Here is a 15,007-nt window from a genome sequence, read left to right as displayed (position 1 = left end):
AAAGTCTGAAATCCAGGGGCAGACAGAGTCTTGCTCCCTCCAGAGGCTCTAAGGGGCATCCCTCCCGCCTCCTGCAGCTTCCCGCAGCCCCCTGCATCCCTTGGCTGGTGGCCGAATCACTCTGAGCTGTCTCCATCTTCACGTGGCCTCCTCCCCTGTGCTGCTGTGTCCCCTTCTATCCCTTATAAGGTCAACTGTCTTCGGATTTAGGCCCCACCCTAATCCAGGACCATCTCCTCCCGAGATTCTTACCTGAATTATATCCTCAAAAGCCCTTATTCCAAACAAGGTCACATTCTGAGGTTCTGGATGGACATATCTTTTGGGGTCACTCTTCAACTCTCCGCAGCCCCCATTTTCTTCCATCCCTTTTGAAGTTGCCTGCTCAGCCTCCTCCCCTGCTCTCCAGGGCATATTTTCAGCTACTTGTTCCCATTACCTTTCTCTACCCTCTCTCCCCCCTTCTGTTAATAAAATCCCCTGGGACCTCCTCCCCCACTGTCCCTGCCATTCCCAGAGGCTATCGGGAAACTCTGGTCCAGCCACAGTGGTCTGGCCACACAGGGAGCCATGTAGAGACCTCCATCTCCAGCCAGGATGACACCGGTCTGCGGTTCCCAGCTCGTCGTCAAGATGGGATCATCCAGGCCCCACACGCCTGCAGCCCCTCACCCGCCCTCTTCCAGGTCCTCTTCGGGCCCTGGCATTTGCTCAGCGACAGTCCAGGCAGTTCAGGCTTCAGGGTGCTGGGTGGGCCGCCAAGAGCTGGCTGCCACCCCTCGAGGTGTGTACCGAGCAGAAGGTGCGAAGGCGCTGTGTTCCCGAAAGTGCCTCTGAAATTCCACTGGGCATGTCCTGGCCGGGGCCGCCTGCCTTCTGTTCTGTCCTGAGGGCCGGGGTTAGGCCACCGAGGATTCCAGCACTTCCTCTTGGCCGCCACCCGCACTAAGTGGGGAGGCTGAGTGCACGGGAACATTATTTCAACAGCCTTTAAGAGAACTAGCACCACGTCATAAAACTCTTGGCTGGTACCTTTGCTCTTCAGACTTAAATACCATCAGCGTGTTTCTCAGCAACATTAATTAAAATGCTTTTAAAGACCGGGCTGTTCTCCACACAGGAAGGCCCTCACCTGGGGAGCACTTTCACAGGTGAATTGGCTCCTTAAAAGCTTTTAAATTAATGTCCTTCCCCATAATTCTTATTTTTCCAAAAAGTAAGTTTTTACAACTTCGCTGCCTTCCTCCCCAGTGAGCTGAGCAGTTGAGGGGGAAATGGGGGCAAGGTGGCTCTGAAGAGGGGCTCTCCATGGGAGGCCGGCCTGGCCGCCAGTGCTAACGTGTGGGGAGTCCGCACAGGGGCATTTCTTCAATGACTCGCTTCTGGAAAGGGAGGGCTCCCCCGCTTGACTTCACACACTGTTTCTGTTCAGAAGAAACAATCCATAGAGGACTCCTCGGCCCCCACGTTTTGATCTTCCGTGGAGATACAGATACAGCCCAGGACTGGCGCTTGGCCCCCTGCTCAGTTCAACACAAGTGACACTCACCCCAGTAACCGGCACCGTGGGCACCACTGGTGCCCTGCTCAGGACCAGAGACATTTCATCTAACTTAGTCCTTTCAGCTGTATCATGAGGCAGGTGTCGTTACTTCCTTTTAAAAATGCAGACAGGCTCAGACAGGCCAAGTCATTTGTACCAGGTAGCACAGCAAGTAATTGGGAAATGAGAATTTTATTTCGATTCTTCTGGCTCCAAAGTCTGTTTTATTTCACCTAGACTACTTTGTGAAAATTATGAAGAGTGAGTTAGTTTCGACAGTAATTTAATAAAGATTAAAGGCAAAACAAAGAATTAGGGATGCCGAAATGCATGGCTGGTGTTGAGAGCCCAGGCTCACACTGTCCACCCCGCCCCGCAGTGGTTCTCAGCCACCAGCATCCCCTCTCCACCTGCTAGAGAGACCGTGCGAAAGGCAGAGCTCAGAGGGCTCTCGGGGACTCCCCAGCAGAGGCCTCAGAAGCTGGAGCACAGCCCGGTGTGGCTATAGCCCCAGCTGGTTCCAGGTGGACAGATCAGCCCTGGGACCTTCAGTGCCTGTGGAACAACAGGAAACCCAGGCGCAGCACCCCCCGAGACGCAGCACCCCCCAGATGCAGCACCCCCCAGATACAGCACCGCCCAAGATGCAGCACCCCCCAGGCACAGCACCCCCTAGGCACAGCATCCCCCGAGATGCAGCACTCCCAAATGCAGCGCCCCCTGAGACACAGCACCCCCCAGGCACAGCACCCCCCGAGATACAGCACCCCCCAGATGCAGCACCCCCCAGACGCAGCACCCCCGGGCCATGAAGCTGCTGCCCTGCATCTGCTGAATCAAGAATGACAGGAGGCACAACATCAGCCGGCTTCTGCTGAAAGCAGAGCCTAAGACGCAGAGCTTTCCAGGCCGCCCTCTGTTGGGGGCTGTGACCCCCACTAACAGGAGTAAGAGCAAGAGTGGGAGTGAAACGAGAAATGTTCCCTCGTCCCCCTTGCAGGGTGTGCAATGGGTGTGTGACTCACTTCTTCATGCCCCGCTCTCAGACCTCTAGGGGAGCATATAGACGGGCAGGCTGTGGGGCTCTAACCCCAGGCAGTGTCTAGGGGTGAATGTTTTCAGCCCCTGAAGCCCCTGTGGGCGTGTGTCACAGTGTTGTCTTTTAGTTTTGCTGTCTCTAGGCAGCTTGCGTTAACCAGCTCAATCACACCCTCTGCCTTGTCGCAAGGACAACGGGCTTTCTGTATCCCAGGTTCTTCCTTGGTGTACCAGAAGGATCAGGTCACACGTGCGCTGGGAGAATGAGTGCAAGGTTTTACTGAGTGGAGGTAGCTCTCAGCAGAGGGGAAGTCAAAAGGGGGATGGAGTGGGAAGGTTTTCCCCGGGAGCTGGGCTGCTCAGTGGCCTGGGCTCTCCTCTGACTGCCCCAGCCAAACTCCACATCATTCTGCTTCTGCCCGTCGGTGGCCTGCGGCATGCCGGTGTGTGTCAGGGTGCTCCTCTCCACATCCGGCCACCCGTGTGTGCCCCCACTGATGTGCTCCTCTCCACGTCCAGCTGCTTGTGTGCCTGCCTGCTGGGGCCTCAGCCCTTTTCATTTTCATAGGCACAAGATGGGGGCGTGGCAGGCCAGGGTGGTCTTGGGAAATGCAACATTTGGGTGTGAAGGCAGGAGTGCCTGTCCTCACCTAGGTCCGTGGGCACAGGCCCGGGGGTGGAGCCCTCACCAGGGACCCGCCCTTCTTCCCTACCAGCTCTTCCCTGCCCTTCCCCCATATCAGGAGGAAGAACTGGCACCAGGGCGTGTTGTTAGCTCACCCAAGACCGGCAGTGCAGCGGGCCACACCCCGGGCGGTGTACAGAGGGGACCAGGGCCACCTGGCCATGGAGGAAAGGTGACGGCTGACTCCATCTCCCACTGACCAGCACTTGCCAGAGGCCAGAAACCCCCAGTGGCACAAGCGTTGATTCCCAGGGGATTCCAGTGTGTTCGCCCTGACATCAGCAAGAAGCCAGGGCCTGGGACACATTATGGGACAGGAGGTAGATGCCCAGCAGGAAGACTACGAGGGGGGGCTTGGCCACCACACTGTCACACCTTCCTCTGCGTCCACGAGGACTCTCCCAGGAAGGTCTATGCCATGCACACATTGCACTGCAGTGCGTTCTGAGGGGCTCGAGGAGGTGCTGGGCCTCGCATCTGCACCAACAGGGTTCAATGCAGATGAGGGGCGTGACACAGCAGCCCGGAGAGGTGAACTTCCGGGGGCTTCAGGAGCCCCAGGAGGCTCTGCACGTCCAGAGGCTGAGGAGTCAGCAGAGGCCTCAGATTCCTGGATCCCACAGGCCACAGACAAGGTCTCACGTGGAAACTGTGGCCACTGCATTCCTGAATGAGCTGGCCTGGCTGGGGGCGGCCCGACCTGGGAGATGGGTGCTGTCCCCATCCCTGTCCAGTCTGATCTAAATTAAAACTTGAACTTCTCATCAGTTTAAAGCTTCTCTCCACCCTCAGCTCAGGCCTGACGCACAAAGTCCTTGCACAGCAGGGCAGAGCGGAGGAGGTCATCTGCTTCTACCCCGACGCTTCTCCTTCTCCACCCGCCACCAAGGTCCTCTGTGGTGGGGGGAGAGTGGGAGGGGAGACAAGGGGCTGTTGTCGCCTGCACTGATGCCCTGCCCTGACATTTGCCCACACGCTCGCCATGGGGACCTCGAGCACTGCCTGTCCTCATGCTGTGCCAGCTGACCGCTGCCCACCCACCCCAGCTCGCGCCCCCAATGGCCCAACTCTCCCACCTTTCCTGCCTTCCCCTTGGGAGGAGTCTTCAAGCTGGCTGGAACTCAGCCATTTTCTGGGGCTCCCACCCAGTAGCTCGGGCTCATCCCAGATAGAGATGCAGAGATGTGATTCCCAAGCTGGGATTTGGAGGTGGGGCCTGCAGCCCAGCCAGGATCAATGCCAGTTGGCAAAGGGCATGGCAGAGGCTAGCCGAGACCCAGAGAGATGGGCCTGAGGCTTCCCCCGCATACACCAGGCAGGGGCCACTCCATCCCAGCAGAGTCTGGACCCAGCCCAGAAAGACGGGGGGAAGAAACCCAGAATTGGCAGAGTTTACACAACTGGGTTGATCCGGATGACATTTGGTTACGCTTGTGTTATCAGGCTCCATGGAGCTTTGACTCCAAAAATAAGCTTTTGCTTATGGACAACTAATAATCACTTCTTGCAAGTGTGTATTAAAGTATAATACACAGACAGAAAAGTGTACATATCGTAAGTGTTGGGCTCATTGAATTTTTTTCATGAACTAGGGATACCCATAAAAAAATAGTTACTTTTTAAACTTTGCGTGTGTGGCCTAGGAGAATATTGTTCCACTGCACAGGAAATAAGTCTTCTTGCCAACAAGGGTCTTTAATCCCCTTGCAGAGCCCCTCACAGACACACACCGCCCGGAGAGGTCCCAGCCTCCAAGCAGAGCATCTGGGCCTCCAGGAGGAGAGTGTCTAGCACATTTCTTGATGGGGACCTGGGGGCTGATGTAGAACACACAGAATGGCCATGCGTGACAATTATCTGTGAAGCTTGCAGAGCCCTGGCTGCACCTCAGGCCAATCAACCAGAACCATGAAAATGGGACCCAAGCTTCGTGTTTGTGAAAGCTCCCCAGATAGCCCCACAGGCAGCCCAGCCTGAGGACCATGACTTGAGTTCACTGTGTAATCTGTGTAACTAACTGGTTTAAATACACTACACCTACTTCCCATTCTACCAGTGGTTTAGACAATCTAAAGGAATCCTTTAATCTTATGCGAGAAGTTAAAGAACAGCCCGAGGTCTAGTCAGCCTGTGTGGTAGCCCGCTCAGGCCGTCATGACAACATACCCCAGACGAGGGGCTTGAACAGCAGGTATCCTCACAGTTCTGGAGGCCCTAAGTCCAAGATCAAGGTTGCAGCAGGAGTGGTTTCTTCTGAGGTCTCTCCCCTTGGCTTGTAGACACCATCCTCCCGCTGTGTCCTCACTTGGGCATCCCTCCCTGGGTGCTGTGTCCCAATTTCCTCTTCCTATAAGGACACCAGTCACTAGGGCCCACTCCAGTGACCTCACTATAACTTCATTCCTTCTTTAAAGACCCTGCCTCCAAATACAGTCACACTCTGAGGTACTGAGGTTAGAACTTCAATATATGAAAATATATTAATTGAGTGGGACACAGCTCAGCCCATAACAGCCAGATACATCTTACCTGACTAGCAAACATGCCTGCTGTCAGGTCTGTGAATACGGGGTGGGGGGAGCCCCTTACACGGGATGCTGTCTTCCCGAGAATGCAGTGTGATGGGCCGTCCTCTGGATGAGCTGGGCTTCCAGCACCCGGAAAACCAGACCTTGCCAGCAGCCCCTGCTCCGGCTGGCTTTCCCTGGCTGCTTCTGGAGGAATCTCCACACTTCACATGGAGGCTCTGCCATGCAGGTGAAGGTGAATTTGAGCAGGAAGAGGTCTGGGAAAGGAGGCACTTCGAGGCTGTTGCAATAGTCCTAGGAATAGGTCACTGTGACACGCACTGAGGTGTGGGCTGTGAGGGTGCATGTCATCCGTGGAGTCATTTGCAGACGTCTGCAAGCAGAAAGAGAGCCAGACTGCGTGGAGGACTCCCCATGGTGGCCTGAGGACGCCACACTTGACGTGCAAGGGGCAGCAGCCGAGCTCCGGGACCTTCTGCAAATGCGTCCCTGTCTGGACTCCATAACTGCAAAGGTGTTTTATTTCCTGGAACTTTTAGATCAAAGGACATTGTTTTAGGACTCTGAGCTGCTATTTCCATTTCTCTGGAGAAATCGTAAGAGGCAACAGCCAATTACTGTCAGTGAGGGTTGAAGGAACAAGAAAGAAAAGGGCTGTTTTCCCTTCAACAGTGAGGCTCATCAAAGACCACAGAGTTTGCCAGTCTCACTCCTCAGGAAATGCATTGCTTGAAAGAAACTCTGCCCCAGTAGAAGATACTGAATGGAAATTCCTTTGGCAGGAGGAAAAAGAATCAAGTCTTGCGAGTGAATTTACACCAGGAAATATACTCTTCTGTGCTCTTTGAAGCCACCAAGAAAAGAGAATATGCCCCATTTGCTGCTTCTAGGGAGGTGAAGGCCGTCTCTCCACCTACATCAGCTGGTGGGGGAGCCCCCGGGTGACCTCACCTTGCCCAGACCACCCATCCGCCACTGCTTCCCTCAACCTTCTTCCTTAAGAATGGTGAGATGGCTCAACTGGAATGTTCCGCATGAAAAGAGACACTTCATGATCGCTTCCACTCGCGTTACTCCCCTTTCCCTTTAAAACAGTTCAACATTGCCTGGGTTTTATGTGTAAGTGGATCCGAAGACCACCCACGTGTTGGGAAGCTGAGGTTGCCAGAAACATTCCCCGATTTCCAATATCTCCCTTCCTGGAGCTGAGAGCTTCATCTCACTACTGGCGGCTTAGTGTTTTGCACAGAGGTATGAGTTCTCAAACAGTTTTAAGCAAGAGAGCCATTTGTGAAATAAAATTTTACACAGCAATGTGATTTCTGAAAAGGGGTGGGGGGCCCCCTCGTCAGTCCCCAGTGTGTCGCTCCATCTGTCCATGGAGTCCCACGACATGCCAAGCACCGCACAAGTCCCTGAGGACAAAATATCTGAGACCATCTCATCTTGCACTCAGAGCATTGACAGACTCCAGCAGGAAAGATGCTGCAGCAAACAGAAAACTTTGATTCGCTGAAATGAGATGTGACGAAGAAGAAACAATGAGGAGAGATGGGGTGTACTTCTGACCAACTACACTGTAAATAAGTCAAATTAATGCGACTCCAAAACCTTAACTAAATAATTCTGAAGATGAAAGAAGAAAGGGATAAGAATAATTCTACATTTTTGGAAAGAGGGGCAGTGGAGGAGGCTTGCCTTTGGGGATATTAAAACAAGTGAGAAAGCAATCAAAACAGGAACTTCATGGTGCAGCCGATGACAGGTAGAGGATGCCCCTGAAAAAGACGCTTCTAGCAAAGGCTGAACACGTGGACAAAGTTGTGTTACGGACGATTAGACTGAGGATGGAATTTTCAATTAATAATGCTTAAAAGAGTGACTCCTTGGGAAAAAAATCAAGTTAAGAGTGTCACTCCAAACCATATCCCAAAGTAAATTCCAAATAGATTGACAAGCTGAACGTTGAAAAGAAGCCATAAAATCTTTCAAAGAAAATAGAGGTGAACGTTTAACTGACTTTATAGTAAGCTGGGTAAGATCTTTTAAAGTACTCTATTGTCTTAGAGCATCTTCTGCTGCTATAACAGAGTACCTGAGGCTGGGGAATTTATTAAGAAAAGGCATTTGTTTCTGCCAGTTCTGGAAGCTGGGAGGCCTCAGGTTCAGGAGCCGCATCCGATGGGCTTCTGGCCAGGGCCTCGTACTGCATCAGAGCGTGGCCATTATAACAGCCCCATGCTTGTGGTAACCAACCCCTCCTGTGAGAACCCACTGATCTACCAATCCACGAAGGGATTACCCGCCTCCTAAAGGCCCCGCCTCTCAATACTGTTACCTTGGGGATTCAGTTTCAACGTGAGTTTCAAAAGGAATAAACATATTTCCCTTTGAAACATTTCATAGCAAGTATGAAAACAAATAACAAAGGAAAATTTTATCTAAAATGGGAAAGTATTCATACCTCAAATAATAAAATTAAGCAAATAAGAAGTCAGGAAAAAATACAAGTAACAAAGGTAACAGAGAGTTCATATCCTTACTGTAGGAAGGGTGCTTTAACACAATTATTTTTTAAAGCCAAGCTTTCAGTGGGAAAAAGAGGTAAAGACCTCATAGGCAACTCACAGAAGAAAAAAGTAGAAATGGATGATGAATGTAGAAAGTATATTAAACCACACAAATGCTTTCTTCTTTATACATTGCTATGTTTTCTAAATTGTGTAAATGACCATGTTATTTTCATAATCAGGAAAGAGTACAGCCAGTGTGAATTCATCTAGGTAAAGCTCAAAGCTAATCTTTGGAGCCAGGAGTTCAGGACAGGGTTCACCTCCAGGGGCTGATCGCTGTGAAGGGCGGGAGGGGGCAATCGCGTTCTTTCTAAATCTTGATTTGCTGGAGATCACATGGGTGTGCTCAGTCAGTCAAAATTCATCACAGTATACACTTCTAAAGCGTGTACTCATCTGTATTTGTATATGCTTTGATTTTTAAAGTTTACTTTAGCAAACTCAAAATATGTCTATGGCAAAAGAGATCACAAAAAAGAAACATATATATACGTATATATATGTACATGTACGTGTGTATATATATATATATATATATATAGAGAGAGAGAGAGAGAGAGAGAGAGACAGAGAGAGAGAGAGAGAGAGAGAGAGAGAGACGGAGTCTTGCTCTGTCACCAGGCTGGAGTGCAATGGCGTGATCTCGGCTGACTGCAACCTCCACCTTCCGGGTTCAAGCAATTCTCCTGCCTCAGCCTCCCAAGTAGCTGACAAAAAATATTTTTAACGCAGATGACCAATAAGGTGTTAATGCCTCAAATATACAGTAAGCGTTTATGAACCCACAGGAAAAAGCCAGACAACCAGCAATAAAGTGGGCAAGAGATACGAATGGGCAGAAGTGAGTCAGAGCAAATAAATCCAGCAAACCTGAAAAGATGCCTGAAGTCACGAGCAGCCAGGGAAGGGCATATTTGCACAACAGAGACATCATTACACCCATCAGGCCACATAAAGAATTTTAACGAAAACTGTAACACACTTTGCTGGCAGGGAGATGGAGAAAGGTCTCTAATACACTGCTGAGGGGCGTGTTAAGATCCTGGCCTCTTTAGGAAGCTGCAACTGCTATTAAAATCAAAATGCAAAGACCCTTCAGGTTGAATTCAAGCTAATGGAGAAGCTAAGTAGACAAAGCCGCCTTGCATTTTCAGGGAAACAGTTCTTTTCCTCCTGGTCTTCAAAGTTGTATGAGTTCCACTGTTGGATTTTCCTCATTTCTTCATCCTGGAAGGAGAGGCTGGCCCAGACCAGGGTCCATTCCCTGGTGCTGTCTGAGGACTCGTTCGGTCCTCGGGAGGCCTAGACCCATGCACAGGTCTCCTCTCGGGTCCTCTGGCTCCCATTCTGCCACTCCATCCATCGCATGCACTGCAGCCAGCAGGAGCCCCTGAAAACACATCTCGGATCACGACACCATTTCTCGGTTGCACTTGAATGAAACGTTCCTACCACACTGTCCGGGTCTGTCCCTACCAGCCCTTCCAACCTCCTTTCTCCAAACCCTGAGTGCCCTCCTGGCCCAGCCCTGCCCCTCTGACCTGTTTCAGTTTCTGAGCTGCACCGAACTCTTGTCCGTTTGGTGCCTCCAGTGCTGTCCCTTCCCTTCCTTGGGCGTGGAGAGGCCTCCATGTGTGCTCCCTGTCCCAGGAATATTCCCAGCACTTGCACGGTGGTGATTCATGAGTCTGTCTCCCTCGAAGGCTGGAGCTCAGGAGCTGGGACCCTCCACCTCACCGCCTGCCACGCCCCAACCCCAGCAGTGTCCCGCACGAGGAAGGAGCTGTAAGTACTGATGACTGGCACACTCGGGCCTCCTGCCCTCTGGCAGCTGAAATGTGAATGGCCAGTGTTGTGTGCTGGGAGAGGGAGGGTGGGAGAAAGGAGGCGGCCCCAGCCATCCTGGTGTCTCCTGGAGGTGGCAGTGCAGGCCCAGGACCTCGGGCCTTCCCTCACTGGCCGGGCGTCCTCCCAGTCCCTCCCATGCTGGGTGTCCAGACAACAACCCACAGGCCCAGAGGCCACTCTGGTCTTAGTCTTGGTCCAGGCCAAGCAGGGACTGGACCTGCTTGGTGAGGACTGTGGAGAGGACTGTGACCTCTCCATCCATCTGTTTCTGAACCTAAAAAATGGCCAAAGGGGAGGAAGAGGAGGACGATGGCCCCCAGGGCCAGCTCCACAGGTGTGAGGCCTGGGCAGACTCATAGGGCCCGGCTGAGCCCACAGGGACCCCACGCTCTGTTCAAGGCCTGGCCATCGCTGCCTTGGAAGTCTGAAGGCCTTCTGAACTGGGGGCCTCCAATTCCATTTCACCCTGGGCCCCATAAACAGCACACCCAGGCCTGAGAGCGCCTATGCAAGAGAGCTGTGGGCTGAGGGCTGAGGGCTAAGGCGCTGGCTGCCAGGCTGCACCAGGCTTGCAGGGACCGCTGGCCTGACTCCTCACAGTCTGAAGACACCTGAGGACTCCTGCGGCCATTGGCCACCCCCGCCGCAGGAGGCAAGTGCTGGAGAAGCTCAGCACCTTTTGCTTCTCTCCCCCACTGCTGTGGAGCCCCCTCTATGTGCTGAGAAAAGCCAGGCCACTCCAGGAACTCACCCTGCAGCTTCCCGTGGACACGTTACAGCTCCTGCCCCTCAAGCTTGGCGGGGGGATTGTAAACCCCTCTCCCCTCCCAGGTGGGCCCTCGCCAGGGCAGCTTTATGACAGGGATGATGGGCCTCGAAGGGGAGAGAACTCTGTTGAATATCAATATCCGGGCTCATTAGGAAGGAGATATTTCAAGAATTATATATGCAAACAGTGAAAAGGCAAATGGTTTTAATAATAACTTATTAAAAGGCCTTTCCCCGGACTGAGAGTCCCATAGCGCATAAAGCCCCCAGCACTTAGCGGGATGGATTTAAGCAGCAGAAGGCACGCGCCGTGCAATTCTCCCCATAGCTCTGCTGACACGGGTCCCGTCTTGGGGGCTCTGGTCTGGTTTGTTTTTCAGCGGCCCAGGAGGCTCGGGTCTGGCTGGGTGCTGGGTTCCCATGGCTGCTTCTGGCTGCAGCTTGAGCCGAAACGTAGACTCCATTCTTCCAGAGCTTTCCGAGGGCACACTATAAACCCAAGCCGGCCCTAGTGAGGCACCTCCTCTTTGTGCCTCAGTCTCCTGCATCTGTGGGTGGGGAGGGGCTGAAGTCATGGGCTCTGAACCTTCTCCACGGTGGGCACCCCCCTCTGTCCGGATCGCTGCCAGCTATGCTTGGATGGGCCCAGGACAGAGGGCAGCAGAGCCGGCCGAACCTGGCACTCAGGCGCCAGCCCCACAAGAGAGCCTCAGTTGAGGGATGAAATCCAAGATTATTTAAATACCTTCTGTTCTAACTTTGAAAAGCAGATGAGAGAAACACTTGAGTTGACCTCTGAAAGTACAGCCTCTAAAAGCGGGCTCTTGAATTCACTTCACCTCATTTCCATCATCCACAACACTTTTTCCGTTGTGTGTTAATAGCTCTTGAGAAAACGAGGTTGGCTCAGCCGGAGGTGGGATGGGCTTCCCTGGAGGACCGGCCATGGGAGGGTAACGGAAACCCACAGGGCACCGGGTGACTGCCTGGGGAGTGGGGTGCAGGGGCAGGACACCAGCCCTGGAGCCCTGGAGGGGCCCAGAAGACCCTCACTCCCTGAGGGAGGCCAGGACTAGAGGCGAGGTAAGGGAAGCCAGTTCCTGGACACAAAGAGGGAGGCCAGGGGAGGAAGGGCCGAGCGCCAGATTGGAGCCCTGGTAGCCGCCAAGGCGATGGAGCTCTGCAGGCGGCAGGTGTGGGCTCAGGGACCTCAGCTGGGCCAGAGAAAGACCCAGTGCAAGAGTCAGGAAGTGCTGTTCTGGGCAGGGCCTTGGACAGCAAAATCCAGCACCCATTCTACAAGGAGAAAATCAAGGGGCAGACAGGCAAGGCACGGCCCCCAATTCTCACGGGCAGTTGGGGCTGAGCTGGGGTCTGCACTCGGTTCCTACACCTCAAGGCAGAGCCCACTCCAGCAGGCCAGTCTGCACAAGGCTGGACCAGTTAAGGAATGCAATGCAAGCAACTGGCTGCTCCCAATGTGAACAGCTTAGTGTGAACTCTGCGCCAAGCTGGACAGGGCAACGCCCAGCCCTATTTAATCGATGTATAATGAAGTCGGGGTCCATCAGTAGGCCCTCGGGGACCCCACCCTGACTTGCCCTTCCAGCCTGACCTCCTTGGGAGTACAGCTCAGCCCCTGACCGCACCCCACACACACCCAGCCCCACGGAGCCACTCCCCTAGGATCTCCCCGACTCCAACCACACTAGACCCAGCCCCGCTTCAGAGTGACCAATTCCCTCCCATTTGCCTGGACCTCAGGGTGGAGAGGGGACTGTTTCCCTGAATGCAGGACTTTCCCTTTTAAAACCAATGAAGTCCCAGTCAAACCAAGATGAGCTAGAGACCCTAGCCCTCTTCTTCCAGCCTCATTCCTTCCTTCACATCCCCACAGCCCAGGCCAGTCTGCCCCTTCGGCGGGGGCCTTTCCCATGCCCCCAGCCTGACTGTCCTCGTGGGGCCTCCCTGCCATTGACCACTTTCCTGCCTGACCCAGAGACACCCAGGCACAGTGCTCCCAAATTACCCCATCTGCAAGCTCCTCTGTTGCCTGCAAGGCCCTGCCTGTTGCAGTGTGAAACACACAACCTAAAGGGCGCCCTGTGCTGGGACAGACCCTGGGAGGCAGCCCTGCTGACAGCAGGCCCTCTGACACAAGTGAGACAAGGCGGAGGGCAAGGGCCTTCTGGGGGCATTTTGGGGAAAGGAAGGTCATTTACACTATTCCAATATCCCAGCTCTGTGGGGAAGCTGTGGGGCCCGGAGCGAGGGTCTTCTCTTCCAGCAGGGTGACTGCTCAGAACGCAGTAGTTAAACAAAACATCGTGGAGACTTCTTCTGTGAAGCACGCATTCATTTGAGGTCTCCTCCCATCCACCATTTTGCTGCCCCCTCCGACCCCACAGACCAACATTAGGGAGTGAGTGTACGATCCCCGGGAGCCCGTTTCCAACAGGCTGTCCAGTTCTGTGGGACCCCCGAGCCAAGCTTGTCTCAGGATCGTGGTGTGCAGAGAAAGCTAATGGACGACCTGAACTGTGCCACTGTCAGCCAGCAGCCTGTGCTGGGAATCGCTGAGATGACCCTCCACAGTATCTTGGGGCTGGTGACAGCTGGGAGTTACCACCCCAGTCCTGAAAGGCAAGGGGCTGCCGGAGTAGCTAATGGCAGCTGGAGAGAGACCCGCCTGTCGTGGGTTGGGAGCTGGAGAGAGACCCGCCTGTCATGGGTTGGGTTTTTCAGAAGCAGGAGTTGAGACAAAGTCAGGATACAAGATGTTTATGAGGGTCCAGCACCTGGACAGGAGGGAGAAGCGGGTGGAGGGAGACGTTCAACTGTGGTACAGGCCTGTCTGGAAGCTCCCAAGTGCACAGTACCCATCCAGCATCCCACCTCGGGTCTCCCAAGACCCTCTCCCAGTCTCCGGGTGTTAGCTGGGCATGAAAAACTTGGCCCAGGCCGGTTGGGGCTCATCACTGGGAAGATCCTGAAGAGCTAACAGGTGGAAGCCATGTTCTGACCACTCCCCAAAGCTGGGAGCAAGTCCTTCCTGGAAGGGGCATCTGGGTGGCACATCTCCAAGTCTGTCACACAGGCCGAGAGGAGCCGAGAGATCAGCAGAAGGGCAGAAGTTGAGACGTTTGAGTGTAGGCAGAAGTAGAAGGCAAATGACAGCAACAGACAGGGTGGGAGCCAGGCGGCCTTGCCCAGCTCCTGCCCCCTTCTACTCTCTCTCCCTGGCTGCCAACCTGACCAGAAGCCAAAGAGCAGAGAAGCCGCTGGGGTCTGGCCCATGCAGTCAGCCTCCTGCAACACAGAGCGTGGCGAGGATGGAGGTGGGTCTGGACCAGCGGTAGACAGCCAGCACCATGGTCAGCAAAGCATGGCACTGTCCCTAAAGATACAGGGCTTTGACAGTCAGCAAAGCATGACACCGCCCCTAAAGATACAGAGCTTCGCCAGTCAGCAAAGCATGGCACTGTTCCTAAACATACGGGGCTTCGTTTTCCTTTGATTATTATTACTTGCATTTGAAGGAGCTTGGAAAGCATGAGAAAGATTACAGAAGGCTAAAACACACACACACACACACATACACACACACACACCATGCACACATGCACATGCGTGCACAGACAGGAACACACACTTGCCACGTACACACACATCATGCATGATACACATCACACACACATATGCATGTGCACACATGCACACAGGCACACACACACAGCATGCACACACATCCCATAAATATGCACATGTATGCACACATGCTCATATAGGCACACACTCTCACACACCATGCACACACACACAAGCTACACTTCGTTGCGTTGATTCTTTTACAGCTTTCTCAAATGTTTCTACAGATGTTGGTGCATTTCAATATGTTAACACTTCTTCAATTAATTTTAATAATACATACTTTTCAAAAATTACCTTCTTCAACTACGTTTTCAAACTCTTTTAACTTAGAATGGTAAGAATTGTTCTCTGTAAATTCTGGTTTATCCAAGGC

At 53.2% G+C, this 15,007-nt stretch overlaps 1 annotated feature.

The window, feature by feature from the left end:
- Nucleotides 14,200-14,701: an enhancer, noted in NCBI's record as "H3K4me1 hESC enhancer chr2:239464607-239465108 (GRCh37/hg19 assembly coordinates)". NCBI's record gives its function as "activates a minimal SCP1, AML or CMV promoter by ChIP-STARR-seq in primed H9 embryonic stem cells {active_cell/tissue: H9 hESC(primed)}" and the evidence as "EXISTENCE:reporter gene assay evidence [ECO:0000049][PMID:30033119]".

This window comes from Homo sapiens, chromosome 2 (assembly GCF_000001405.40).
Source record: "Homo sapiens chromosome 2, GRCh38.p14 Primary Assembly".
In the NCBI taxonomy this organism is placed as follows: Eukaryota; Metazoa; Chordata; class Mammalia; order Primates; family Hominidae; genus Homo; species Homo sapiens.
Note: the sequence above shows the minus strand (reverse complement) of the source record. Positions and strands in the feature narration are given on the sequence as shown.